Raw genomic sequence first — 15,224 nt, 5'->3', positions numbered from 1 at the left:
TGGTTTACTTCTCCTCCTTTTTTACTTTTATGTAAATGATTTGACGCTGTTTTTCAATATTCTAGATGCATGTCCCCTGCTACTGAGATTAAAAATATAAATCATCTTCTCTAAAACAATTACATAGTTTTGATAATAGTAAGAAGTACCCCAAATAGACAAGAGATCCTATGATTTTTTTTTTTGCCAGAGATAATAACTTTAAAATCGAACTCAACTTTTTGACAGATGCCCCACAGCATTCAATCAGCTCATAGCTAGTAAATGGTTCTATGCAGTAGGTCAGTTACATAAGACTATAATATGTAGTCAGTTAATCCTGGAAGAAATTGGGACAGTCTATGGATATTTTAGGAGACTTTTCCATGGCTGTGGTATGGGATTTTAAAGCAGGAGGGTGTTTTAAAAATATATCTTAACTAAAATAAGGTCAGCTGTGCTCTGTGGTATACACCACTGGGTCTCCTGCACCCATTTGCCAGTGTATTGAAGTAGACACACAACTGCTCTTTGCAGATGATATTGGTTCTGTCCAATATCTATCACTTTTGTGAGCGTCTCCAGGCCCACCTGGCCTTCTTTTATTTTCAAAAAGGACTCTTACCCTGCCCTCTACCTGGCTGATATTCAAGAACATGACATGTTCCTTAGTTTGCAGCTGAGCAGATTTCCAGTACATGTTCTCACCAGAGACTACATCCTTGGAACTCTCTTCTGTGAAATTCTCATCAAAACCCAGTTTTGAGACGTAAGATTTATAAAGAGGTTAGCCTACTGGTCTTCCTGCTATTATTTCAGTAGACCATTATTTAGGGTTTTGTGCTGTTTTCTATGCTCACTTTTATCCCAAATATCCCTATACCTTCCTTCCTCATTTCATTCATGTCCCTACTCAAGTATTATCATATGTAAAAGTGCTTTTATAAAGACTCATTCCAGAATAGCAACACCACCTCCTGGTTTAGATTTTTTCACAGCATTCATCATATAGCACTTACTCATTTGCTTTATTCATCCCTGCAATAGAATATAATTTACTGCGATCTGCCTAGTGACCATCACATAATAACTGCTCAATTAAATTTGTGGCAGGAATGAATGAGCACAGACTGAAGAATGTGTAGTTCTCCCCTCTTGTAGGTGTTATAAATTTTACTCTTGTATCAAGATGTCCAGATCACCAGAGATCTGGGGCATGCAAGGCACACTGTTTGGCATCCTTCATAAAATTGCTTTTAGCAGGCTGTGCTCCAGCTAATGTTCTTGTCCTGCGCTGAGAAGCATTATAAGAAATATTCATGTGAATTACTCATTAGAGTTATAGGTTTAGAGATGGTAAGGCCATCACCTAGTCCATCATCAGGTGATTTCTCTATGCAAACACAAGGACAAATGCCCTCTCCTGAATTATAGATCTGTTTTTCCCTAACGGATAAGCATCTTTTTTAGCTGGATCTGTGACTCTGATGAATGGCCTTGTATACTGTGCTTTTCTGTTGGGTAGTCTTACATTTACTCCTGCATTTATTATTTTCCCTTAGTAATTAATTTTATACAATCTTTATCTAGCTTTTCACATGCTGCTTCAATTCCTTTGCGGAAAGAAAGGACATAAGGGTAAGAAAAAAAATGAGTAAAGCATGCAACTAATAGTTCCCAGTTTGTTTCTTTTTCCCTCGCTGAACTCAGCAAGGATAGATGATAAACATGTAATTGCTCTCCCAAACAAAAATTACTCTTACCAAATAGAAATGATAACACACTCGTGTATTTTGGGAATACTTTACAGATGTGAATGTGATTTATATTTACTCATACAGATTCATCTTCCTATGATGTCATCTTCCATGATTCCACCCATTCTCCAAGATCCAGTTCAACGTCCCTTTCCCCCAAAGAGCATTCTTACACCTCGCCAACTTTGTTCAGTATTCTTGAAACATTTCTGGTACATACATCAATGAGCAAACTAGTCATGTAGTTTCTGTATGAACATATTGAACCGTGACTTAAATCTTGTATTGATTTCTAGGTTTGCAGGCTTGTCTCCTGAGCTAAGATGATCCATTTCTGGAAGAAAAGCACTATGCTTTTTGGTGTATTTACTTCTCCCTCAAGAGCTTCATGTGGTTCGTTGTATACGCCAAGCACTCATTGTAGTGCAGTTTTTCCTGACTTAGTGTACTTTGGATTTCATTTACCCTTCCATGTGATGTACAGAGCATTCGATGGTGAACCTGGAGTCCTGGCTTTTAGATCTAGCTCCCCCAGTAACCAGGTTCATGGGGTACAGCAGAGGTTTGACCTCTCCAGGTCTCAGTTTTCAAAGACTAAAAACTATTCAAAATTAATTTTTCTCTTCCAGTTCCAAAATTTCATCAGTTCCTGCTACTTATCCCCTTCAATATCAACACAGTACAAATCAATATTGTAATGAATGACATAAATCTCTATTATAATTAGTACTGTATTCCCAGTGCAAATAAAGTCTAAATATTTTAAAATGGATTTATGTCTTCAATAACACTCTGAAGTTTTAACCGAACCTTCTCAGATAATGCAAAATTGAACCTTAACCTTGGAATGATTATGATTCTAAGTTGGTGAACTCCACATTGCTGAAAAGTTACTGTTTTAAGTTGAGTGACCTTGAAATTGATTTCAGTTTCTTTTTGCTTATCTTTGCATTCATCTTACTATTGAAAACTTTTCAGAAGATGGAAGTTTTTAAAAGATAAAAAATAAATATTTTTGTCTTCATTTACGTTTAAGAAATGATAGATGTCATATTTTACAATCAATAATATGATAGATTTAATTTTAGTGAACCTCAAATGTAAATTGATATGAAAGTGTTTATTTCACATATTCGAAGTTGTAAGCAAATTTAAAGAAAAAGAGAATTAGTAAGACCATAATCCTGTTCTATATCCAAAGGTGGCATCCCTTGCAAATCTTTCTTATGTTAAATGTGACTCTAAAATGCTATGAGATCTGAAAAATAAATGCAAAATCAGAAAGATTTCTTCTTAAGCCTTTTGGGCAATTGACTTTAGCATCAAAGAGGCAGAATAGCCACCAGTGGGCATGACTCAGGATCAGCCACCCCTCTCTGACTTTCATGATTACATCATCATGTTTTGAATTCTGTAATAACTGGGGTATACTCCTATACCCATGCAAAGTACAGATAATCTATTAACAAAAAACCCTCTTGACCCAACATCCTTTAGAAACAAACAATTCCTTTTGTGATGCTACCACTTTTTTTTATCATCCCAGCATTTCAGGTACCCACACTATATGAAATCATTGTTTACAAATTTTCATCAATCTGTCACAACTTGTGAAGTCTTTTGTCTAGCCACCTGTTCTTTTTCAGTGACACTGTCTGTCCACACATACACTGTCCATGCTTACTGTAGATGTGCGTGCATATCCAGTTACGGAGAGAAAAGAGGATTATAAGGACAATAGCATACATCAGCATTATTTTTCTTTTCTGAATTCAACCTCCTACAAAATATAGGAATCCCATATATAACACACTGCAAAGGGAATTATCCAGCATTTGCCTGAAAACTTCCAGGAAGATGCATCTTACTGTTACACAAAGAAACATATTCTATTTTTGGACCAATCAAATGGTTAGAAAGCTCTTCCCTATACTTACTTAGCTGAAATCAAGCTCCCTGTAATTTACACCTGATGGGCCCTGCCCTTCTTCCACCTGCAAGCCTATTAAGTTTTGGGGCATAGCTATCACATAGTTTCTCTAATTGTCTTTCCTAAACCAAATGCTCTATTTTTTAAAGTGTGTTCCATATATACCTGTGTTTCCATACCATTATCTTTCTGGTAAAATTGCCTTGCCTAGCCTTCAGATTATTTATTTCTCCCCTCAAAACATGGTATACAGAATCTAAAATAACTTTCAAACTGTAGTTCGGTAAGTTCAGGGAATGAAAGAACATTTACTTGCTTGGCACTGGAATGATCTGTAATCTACCCTGAACAAATATTTTTTGCATCCACATGACTGTGGCTCAGATGGGAGATGCAGCCAACATAAATCTCTATTCTTGTTGTTGTTTTAATGTGAACTTTTGTTAGGCTATGTTGCCACCATGGTGAAATAAATCTGAGTGAAAGCATTCACATTTGGCTGTATTTCATTTCAGTTTCTTGATTTCAGCTTGAAACTTTATGTTTCCTGGGATTTCTTGATTTTTACTCTGCCCATCATCGTCTTAATTAGCTTTTCTAGCTATTTTAATTTACAAATTTGATAAGAATGCCTTTTGAATATTTACTTAAGTCATTGATTAAAAGTATTAAATGGAGCAGCACTGATGGTAAGCTTGTGGCTTGTCTGTGGACTCTTCTCTTCAAACTGACCTCTATTTTAATCAAGATTTTTGGAGGCAGTTATTCATTCAGCTATGAATTTACCTACTTTATTATCATCCAACTCACAGTTCTTAGTCTCATCTATGCTAATTACCATGAGATTTTTTTTTGGTCTGGTTCCTTGCTGAAAGCATTTCCCTAATCTAAGCTAACAAAGTCTATCAAAATTATGGTTACTTTGGAATGACTTGTTCTTATTGCTTCTATTGATCGTATTTCCTACCCTTAGTGACCAAAAAAACCATGGGTATCATAATTCCTTCTAATATTTCGCCTGTGACTGAGGTGTCCATTAATCTGTTATTTCTGGAACTCACATTTCCAATTTTTAAAAATTAGAAAAATATTAGGCTTAAATGGTCTGAGACCTTTTCCATTAGCCATAATTATTTAATAATTGTGCTGTTCTATAACAATAGTATTACTTAGTAGTTACATAATACCTTCAAGTATATTCTTACATTGGTTCTTATTAATGTCTTCAGAAATTCCACAGATATTTCCGTGGAAGTATCAAGAAGACCTAGAGTAAGGCATCATCAAATTGATAGACTTGAACAAAAGGGAGGAGTGAGACAGACGGATGGATACAGAGCATGGAGGTGAGCCCAGCATTGCTGGATCATAAGGTAGCTCTTTCTAAAATTTTGGGTGGAAACATCATATTATTTTTTATAATGGCTACCAATCGACATTCCTACCAACAGTGTATAAGGGTTCTCTTTTCTCGACACCTTCACCAGTACTTGTTATCTCTTGTCTTTTCTGTAATAGCCATCCTAATATGTGTCCTGTGATATCTCATTATGGTTTTGATTTGTATTTTTCTGATGATTTATGATGTTGAGCACCTTTTCATATACCTGTTGGCCATCTGTATGTATTTTTTGGGAAAAATGTCTATCAACTCCTCTGCTTCTTTTTTTTTTAATCAAGTTATTTGTGGTATTTTGTTATTGAGTTGTATGAAATCCTTATGTACTGTGGAGATACGTATATACACAAGCATATATATGTAACCCTTTATTAGATATGATTTTCCATTATATTTTTTCTATTACATAGGTTGACTTCATTTTTCTTGATTGTTTCCTAAGCTGTGCACACCTAGACCAAATTTTGCATGTACAATTCATCCTCCCTGTACAGGAAGATAGATAGAAGGAATTCTAAAGATGGCCCCACTAAGACTCCCATCTCTGCTTATTCCATTAGACACTAGTCTTGGGATTGCTGTTATGGAGGGACTTTGCAGATCTAATTAAGTCCCAAGTCAACTGGCCTTAAAATACAGATATTATTTAGGCAAGCCAGATCTAGTCATGTGAGATCTTTGAAAGGCAGAAGAGGAAGGAAAGAGAAGTCAGAGAGATTTGAAACGTCAGAAAGATTCCAGGCACCATTGCTGGCTTGAAGATAGAGGGGCCCACATGAGAAAAAATGTGGGTGGCCCATAAAGAGCAGGACCCCAGCCATAACCAGCAGGGAAATGGGGGGCTCAGCCATAGAGACACAAGGAACTAAGTTCTGCCAACAACCTGAATGAACTTATAAGTAAATTAATCCTCTGATTCTCTAAATAAGAACCCAGCCCAGCCAACATCTTGACGTTGGCCTTGTGAGACCCTAAGCACAAAACCCAGCTGAACCCAGGACTTCTAACTTACAGAACTGTGAACTAATAAATGAGTGTTGTTTTAAGCCACTGAACTTGTGCTAATTAGTTATAGTGCAATAGAAAATTAATATTCTCTCTATATATGCATATATATGTTAAACTACTTACAAATCTATAACCTATTCTATTGTCTTGTCTTTATATTATATAAAATTTGCATGTCTTTTATGTTGCTACATGACCTTCATAAATACCATCTTAGTGGCTACTTAGTAGTTACTAAATTCATGTATTAGAAATTATTTAATCAGTATCCTCTTGTTGGTTATTTAGATCCCTTTCTATTTTCTGTGGAAATGAATATCTTAATGTGACAACTTAAAGATGGATTTTTGATAATTAACTTAAGACAGATTCAAAAAGTAGAATTTGGGGGTTAAAAGGTATGAGATATTTCACAGCCACTCATACTATCCTATGATGGCCAAGTCAGTCTAAACTAAATCTGAGCTGAAAGTGTCCAGGAATATGAACAGTTACTGTGCCTGGAAGTATAGAGAATGCTGGACAAAATGGCATGAGATGAGCCTGGAGAAGTAGACACTTCCATTGTATGCAAAATATAGAAAAAAAGTTGTTTTTGTTTTTCCCTTTTCATGTTCTCCTGACAGTGCTGTAGTTCTGTGGCTGCTGGCTCATGTCACACTTTTTCTTGAGCTTTTATTTGATAATGTTTGGCATTTCCTCTTTAAAGTGATATTTCCCTCTTGCTTAAATTGTCACAGTTTTGTATTGATCACACACTGCTAGCTGCAGAGAAAACCCCAAATTAGAAAAGAGCCAACATTTGCTGAGTAGGGGGGTGGAGAGAATGCCAGATTAAATGATTCATTTCAGCCATATGTGAAAGATGAAGTAGAGAGCAGATACTGAATGTGAGTTTCTCAGGAAATGCCCATATTGATAACAGATGAGGGAGAGGACTGTTTTCCAGAGGAAATCAGTGAAAAGATAGAAGATGAAAGAGACTGCATACCCATTATATCTTTTGAATTAGTGGATCTTGGATAGCATGTGCCTTAAAGAAATAATTAAAATGTCTTAATCCCCTTTGGCATCTGTGATTGCCATTATGAGTTGCTACAAATTAATCACTTAGAAAAACTGGAACTTATTCTTTCACAGTTCTAAAGGTCAGAAGTTAGAAATAAAGTTTTGGCAGGGCCATTGCCCCCTCTGGGCACTAGGAAAAATTCTTCTTTGCCTCTTCCAGCTCCTGGTGGCTCCATGCTCTCCTCAGCTTCCTTGGCTTGTGGCCCCATCACTCCACTCTCTGCATTTGTCTTCACACTGCCTTCTCTTTGTCTCTGTCTTCATCTCTTTTATCTTTTGTAAGGACACTTGTCATCGGATTTAGGGCTCACCTGGGTAATCCAGAATGACCTCATGCCAAATCCTTTAATCAATTACATCTTCAAAGACCCTTTTTACAAATAAGGATACATTCAATGATTCCATGGATTTCAATGTGGACATATCTTTTTGGGGGCCACAATTCAACCCACTACAGTCCTTAATATACCAGAAGTGTACTATTTTAGGATATAGTATATTTCAGAGAAAAAAATTGGTTCATGAGAGATAACTTATGACCGGTCATTAAGTAGGGTGAAAATACTTCTGGAAAGTGGTTCAGCACATGTCCATGATGGCAGGGCACTAGAACGACCTTCCAGTGGTGACAGCCTCAGGTTCACCTCACTTTCTATGGCTCCTTCATGAGCTTGGAATACCAGCTCCTTCCCTTCTATGCAGTAAATATTTGTTATTAGAGAGTATCTTTAAACAATATTTACATGTTAACATTTCTAAGTGTAGCATTTTCTAATTTCCATGGTGTAAATACTCCTGCCCTGGCCTATTTCAGTCTGCCAGTGAGACAGCCAGGTGGGAGGGGGTCCCTCCACCAGCCTGCACACTGGGGTAGGTCCTTGGGAAGTTCATGCAGTTTGCAGTGGGGAAGAACCTGGTCCCTCCTCTTCCTGTGTTGAAACCTGGGATTCAAACTGTGAGGCGGGAAGCACTCTAGCAGGGGACCCTGGCCTTGCGGAGAGTCCCTGTTTCCCCCTTTTTTTCCTTTTCATCCAATAAAATCCTACTTTACTCACCCTTCAAACTGTCTGTGAGCCTAAATTTTCATGGTCATGGGACAGACAAGGACCCCATATTTAGCTGAACTAAGGAAAAGTCCTGCAACACCAATAGGACATCACTGACCACAAAGTAGGGAATAGATGTGTCCAATTAGATCCAGCACAGCACTATCAGTAGACAGATTTCATTTTCATTAAATGAAAGAAGGACTACCTGAAATCAAGCTTCAATACATAGATGATAGTATTACTTAGGATAAATGCACTGCCTATGCCAAGAACAAAACAATAAATTGATTTTAAATATATGTCATGTATTTTCTCCCTTCAGTGATTTCTCTTCATATTTTTTAAAAATGATGTCTTAATTCCTTCTTGCAATTCAGAGTCATGAGTGAAAGGAAAGGAAGACAAATAATGAGGACATTTTCCACTGAACCAGAATCATTAAGACTACTCTTGGGGGTATGGAACTTAGACGTGTAGTTATTTGATCTTAATATGTGTGCAAATTTGAAGTCCCCTCTTAAAATTTTGAACTTCAAAATTTGCATTACTCATTGAAACCTAGCTGAGTAATGCAGTTTAGGAGGGAGAGGTGCTAGATAAAAATCTGTGCTCTCTGTGCCTATTTTAGAGCAGCAAAAAGCCAGGGGAAGTAAGATTAACTCAGGTAATAGTGATTAACTAATTAAGGCAATACTAATTAATTCAGATAATAATAATAATTGCAGTATTGTTTATTCATATTCTGTGTTAGGAATTTATCTTGTGAGAGAACTGATTTTAATTTGTTCAGAGAAACACTTCCAGCAAGTTTGTTCGTAAGGGTGTTTTCTGAGATACAAAGTACCTGTGGATTTTTTTAAGTACATATTTATACACACATAATGGTAGGATTAGTGCTTGGGAGAAAGGGGAGAGGGGCTTGGATGAGTTTTGGCTGTCCTTCCTCCGTTTCCCTCATTCCTCCCCAGGAATAGAGAGTTTCCCCAAGATTCTCCACAATCTTTCCTGTGAAATCCTGATAGGGCCGGCCCTTGTCCTGGTTATGAAGTTGCATATCCTACATCTCAGGATCCCCTTCAGTCCCACGCAAACAGGGACTGGAAGTTTTGTCATGCTAGAACCTGGTGATGTTCCTGGAGGAAAATTCAGCAAAGATGTAGGACCACCTTCCCAAGTCCATGGTCCCCAGGGGCTTCACTCTCCCAGCTGGCCCATGCTCAGCCTTTAGTAATTTGTGAACATTTCTGGTTTGATTTTCCTGCTGGTTTATAGGGTACCTGCCAGCTTCTTCCCCATGCTCAAGTCCTGTTTCTTCCTGTAGGCATCTGGTTTGAGTTGGTTATTTGCCCTGCAACCTCAGTTATCTGATGGGTTCAAGAAAGGCCATTAATTTGCAGTTTTCCCAGTTTTTTTCTATTTGTAAGAATGGAAGTGATGTTCTTTCCAGTTTTCTACATCTTCCAGCTGAAACCAGAAGTCATTGAAGGGTTTCAATAACTGAATCTGAAGTAAATAAACATGGATATGCATTATTGGTATTTTTAAATAATTAATATTGACATAAGTGTCCACTATATTTATAGAGTGAATCATAGCACCTGGTTCACAGTAGTTGCTCGGTGAATATTAGTTCTTTTCCTGTTTTACTCTCTCCTCCCCCACCACACCCCCCAGTGCAGATTTTAGTGTTAATTTTTTAAGTTTTTCATGTATTTTCTTTGTTGTTCTCATTGAAAGAAGTAATTTAAAGAAGGCAAAGACATGAATTATGCTGGAATAAAAAATTGTCTAGAGAGCTCAGACTTACACAACTATGGAGTTTCTTAGCTGACACTGACAGGTGAGATTAAGAAGAACCTGTTCTGTTGAGGTTAGATAACACTGATCAGGTCTAGCTATCTAGCAAATGGCAGTAACCCAAATAATGCATCAGAAATAAAATTCAGAGGGCTCGGCAAGATGCTCAGAATGTTGACAGCCATATTGTGCCTTGGGACCATGATTTCTCTAGCTCTCCAAGTTCAGCTCAGTAAAATCTGCCCAGTTCTTACAATCATATCCCTAAAGAAAACCCTCCAGGCTGCAGGAACTAGTATTGATGATTTATTGAGCAGCAGACTTCTTTTTACCTCATTTATAGAAGCTTTTATAAATCTACAATGAGGAAATGTTCCTCTACCATGATGCAGAAATTTCATTTAAATCTAGACTCAGAAACAGGGTAGACACTAGCTTTTTATAGATGAACAAACCTCCAGCATTGCTCTTTCTTTTCTTATTTAATATACATTATAGAACTACGTTTACTATACCTTATAATGGATAGAATGTGCTTGTACATCAGGCACTCTCTAAAATGTTCTTGCTGCTGTTTATTTAAAGCAACCCTATATGGGAAGGGATTCTATTTGCTTTATGATCTGGGCAGAACCACATATACTCTTGAATATAATGAATACTCATAAATAATAAAAAGACAAATTTTAGGCTTAATGCAAAAACATAACATCATTCTCATTACCCAGTGGACTTTCAGCCTTGCAGTAAAATTCTACTTTCATTATTTTACCAACCTCGATTACACACAGAGGTTTTTATTTTCTGGTAAATTTGAAGGTTTTTTTTCTGTTTTCAGGATTATAAGTTATATTTTTAATTTATTTAATATTGACCTGCCTAAGAAGTTTGCTTGATTTACACTTAAAATTGTTGTATATTTCTATGTGCTGACCTGTTAGTAACACAATACAAATAGTTATGCACTTTAAGAAATCAAAACCAGAAGAGTCTTCAAGGGAATTACTAGTTTAGCCCTCTTCTACTTCAATAACAGACAAACCCCTAAAGCAGCTCACTGTTTATCTTGCCAACAGTATTCTTTCTCTTTGCCTTTATGTTTGTATACTTACGAAGTTCCCCTAACTCCCCACCGCCGCTTACTGTGTATCTGTAGATAGACCTGTTTTTGTTACCTGCCAGTCAAACTTGCATTCTAAAATAGCACACCTGAAAAGATTACTGTACAGAAAATGAACATTCCACTAGGGAAAATTGTATGTAGGCAATTTCAGTTACCTACATACAACTCACTAGGATGCTTCTTTGGAGAAAATTATCTCGACTAGAAAAAACTGATTCTGCTTTTCCCCTGAACCTCACTTGCCCTGAGATCTTTGTCAAGGCATTTAACCTCTTTGTTCTTTAGTTTCTGTGTCTGTAAAATGGTAATTTTTGTCTATTTATTTAGATCTTTTGCATCCCAAGAGGAATTTCAGGTAGCTAAGTGGTTTTTTAAAAAACCGTTAGGATCATATGAGATCATACAAATGAAAGACTTCAAATCCATACACTTCTCTAGGTAAAGGCAAGATGGCCTTATCCTATGGTTAAAAGTCCTATCAGAAGAAACACTAGCAAAACAAAAATGTATGTTTTGAAAAGAAATTTTCAAGGTTCAACTGATATATACTTAGGGCAATATATCAATTAATGTGTTCAAGCTTAATTGAAACTTAATTGAAACACACCTTTGGAATTTGCTATAGGATGATTTTCTTTCTACAATACAGTTGGCCCTCCCTATGCGACCTGAACTGCCTATCATGGACTGGGTGCTTTCTGACTCATTCTAGATATAAAGTGGTTCGTGCATAGCAGCATTCCATCATCAAATGGAAGTGGTATATATGTGATCAGGCTCGAGCAGGTCCTGAAGGCACAAGTGAGTTACATGAGGAAGTGGCTCAAATGCCCATGGTCTCCACTCCTGCCACCCTGTCTTCTCTCGCCTGCACCGATGGTCTCATGAGAGAGTTCCCTGTGATCAGTTGACAGAGGAAGAGAAGACTAGGGCCTGATTCACAAATGGTTCTGCATGATATGCAGACACCACCCGAAAGTGGACAGCTGCAGCACTACCGCTCCTTTCTAGGACATCCCTGAAGGACAGTGGTGAAGGGAAATCTTCCCAGTGGGCAGAACTTCGAGCAGTGCACCTGGTTGTGCACTTTGCATGGAAGGAGAACTGGCCAGATGTGCAATTATATACTGATTCATGGGCTGTAGCCAATGGTTTGACTAGATGGTCAGGGACTTAGAAGAAGCATGATTAGAAAATTGGTGGCAAATAAATTTGAGGAAGAGGTATGTGGATGGACCTCTCTGAATGGTCAAAATCTATGAAGATATTTGTATCCCATGTGAGTGCTCACCAATGGGTGACCTCAGCAGAGGAGGAGTTTAATAATCAAGTGGATAGGATGACCCCTTCTGTGGATACCACTCAGCTTCTTTCCCCAGCCACTCCTGTCATCTCCCAATGGGCCCATGAACAAAGTGTCCATGGTGCCAGGGATGGAGGATACGCATGGGCTCAGCAACATGGACTTCCACTCACCAAGGCTGATCTGGCTATGGCCACTGCTGAGTGCCCAATTTGCCAGCAGCAGAGACCAACACTGAGTCCCCGATATGGCACCATTCCTCAGGGGATCAGCCAGCAACCTGGTAGCAGGTTGATTATATTGGACCTCTTCCATCACGGAAAGGGCAGAGGTTTGTCCTCACTGGAGTAGACATTTTCTCCAGATATAGGTTTGCCTATCCTGCACGCAATGCTTCTGCCGAGACTACCATCCATGGGACTCACGGAATACCTTATCCACCATCATGGTATTCCACATAGCATTGCCTCTGACCAAGGCACTCACTTTACAGTTAAAGAAGTGCAGCAGTGGGCTCATACTCATAGAATTCATTGGTCTTACCATGTTCCCCATCATCCTGAATCAGCCAGATTGATAGAATGGTGGAACAGCCCTTTGAAGTCACAATTACAGTGCCAAGTAGGTGACAATACTTTGCAGGGCTGGGGCAAAGTTCTCCAGAAGGCCATGTATGCTCTGAATCAGCGTCCAATATATGGTATTATTTCTCATATAGCCAGGATTCACGGGCTCAGGAATCAAGGGGTGGAAGTAGAAGTGGCACCATTCACCATCATCCCTAGTGATCCATTAGCAAAATTTTTACTTCCTGTTTCCATGACATTACGTTCTGCTGGCCTAGAGGTCTTAGTTCCAGAGGGAGGAATGCTGCCACCTGGAGACATAATAATGTTTCCAATAAACTGGAAGTTAAGATTGCCACCTGGACACTTTGGGCTCCTCCTACTTTTAAGTCAACAGGCTAACAAGGGAGTTATAGTGTTGGCTGGGGTGATTGATCCAGACTTTCAAGATGAAATCAGTCTATTACTCCACAATAGAGGTAAGGAAGAGTACACATGGAATACAGGAGATCCATTAGGGAGTCTCTTAGTATTACCATGCCCTGTGGGAAAATTCAATGGGAAACTTCAACAGCCCAATCCAGGCAGAACTACAAATGACACAGACCCTTCAGGAATGAAGATTTGGGTCACTCCACCAGGAAAAATACCATGACATGTTGAGATTCTTGCTGAAGGAAAAGGGAATACAGAATGGTTAGTAGAAGAAGGTAGTCATCAATACCAGCTATGACCACATGACCAGCTGCAGAAACGAGGACTGTAACTGTCAAGTGTATTTCCTCTTTTTTTGCCTAAAAACATGTTTGTGCATGTATACACTTGTACTAAGAAAATATCTTCATTTTATTGCCTTTTCCTTTATGAGGTGACATGAGATTTATTGACTTCATATTAGCATTTAAATATTGTTAACTTTATGTAATAGTATTTGGAATTGGTGTGTTTCTGGTTGTGTGAAGGATAGTTGTATTACATTAGGCATAATTATGACCTTATTATTGACTTTATTTGAAGATTATGTATGATCTCAGGAGATGTGTATGGGTTCAAGTTGACAAGGGGTGGACTTGTGATGGTTAATACTGACTGTCATCTTGATTGGATTGAAGTATTGATCCTGGGTGTGTCTATGTGGGTGTTGCCAAAAGAGATTAATATTTGAGTCAGTGGACTAGAGAAGGCAGACTCACCTTTAATCTGGTAGGCACAATCTAATCAGCTGCCAGCTAATATAAAGCAGGCAGAAAAACGTGAAAAGCTGAGATGGGCCTAGACTCCCAGCCTACATCTTTCTCCCATGCTGGATGCTTCCTGCCCTCAAACATAGGACTCCAAGTTTTTCAGTTTTGGGACTCGGACTGGCTCTCCTTGTTCCTCAGCTTGCAGACAGCCTATTGTGGGACCTTGTGATCATGTAAGTTAATACTTAATAAACTCCCCTTTATATATGGGTGTGTATATATATATATATCCTATTAATTCTGTCCCTCTAAGAGAACTCTGACTAATACCGTTTGGGATCCATGGATTCAACCAACTGAGAATAAGAAATATTGGAAAATAAATAATATAAAGAAAACAATGCACTGTGACAACTATTTATATAGTACTTACATATATTAGATCTTAAATGTAACCTAGAAATGATTTCAAGTATATGGGAGGATATGCATAGGTTATATGCAAATACTACACCATTTTATATAAGGAAATTTTGCATCCACACATTTTGGTATCTGTGGGGGTCCTGGAACCAATTCCTTATGAATGCTGAGGCACAACTGTAGTCTGTTACCAGATTCTCCTCTACTTAATAATGGAATTGCATCCAGATAAACCCATGGTAAGTCAAAAATACTCTAAGTCAAAAAATTCATTTAATGCTTGCAATGCAGCAGACAGCCTAAGATTTAACCATGGGTTTAACTTATGTGTGGGGAAAAGCAAGAGAGATCAGATTGTTACTGTGTCTGTGTAGAAAGAAGTAGACATAGGAGACTCCATTTTGTTCTGTACTAAGAAAAATTCTTCTGCCTTGAGATTCTGTTAATCTATAACCTTACCCCCAACCCCGTGCTCTCTGAAACATGTGCTGTGTCAACTCAGAGTTAAATGGATTAAGGGCGGTGCAAGATGTGCTTTGTTAAACAGATGCTTGAAGGCAGCACGCTCCTTAAGAGTCATCACCACTCCCTAATCTCAAGTACCCAGGGACACAAAAACTGCGGAAGGCCGCAGGGAC

At 38.1% G+C, this 15,224-nt stretch overlaps 1 long non-coding RNA gene across 3 annotated transcripts in view; it reads left to right on the top strand.

Moving 5' to 3' along the window:
• Nucleotides 1-15,224, top strand: part of LOC105369715 (uncharacterized) — a 182,759-nt gene that overhangs the window by 103,561 nt on the left and 63,974 nt on the right. For all 3 annotated transcript variants that reach the window (XR_931474.1, XR_001749060.1, XR_001749061.1), the window contains exon 4: nucleotides 4,896-5,012. This is a non-coding gene — a long non-coding RNA (uncharacterized LOC105369715). The remainder of the gene's footprint in view (nucleotides 1-4,895; nucleotides 5,013-15,224) is intronic.

Source organism: Homo sapiens, chromosome 12, assembly GCF_000001405.40.
Source record: "Homo sapiens chromosome 12, GRCh38.p14 Primary Assembly".
Lineage (NCBI taxonomy): Eukaryota > Metazoa > Chordata > Mammalia > Primates > Hominidae > Homo > Homo sapiens.
The sequence above is the reverse complement of the archived record's forward strand: the minus strand, read 5'-3'. Positions and strand labels throughout refer to the sequence as shown.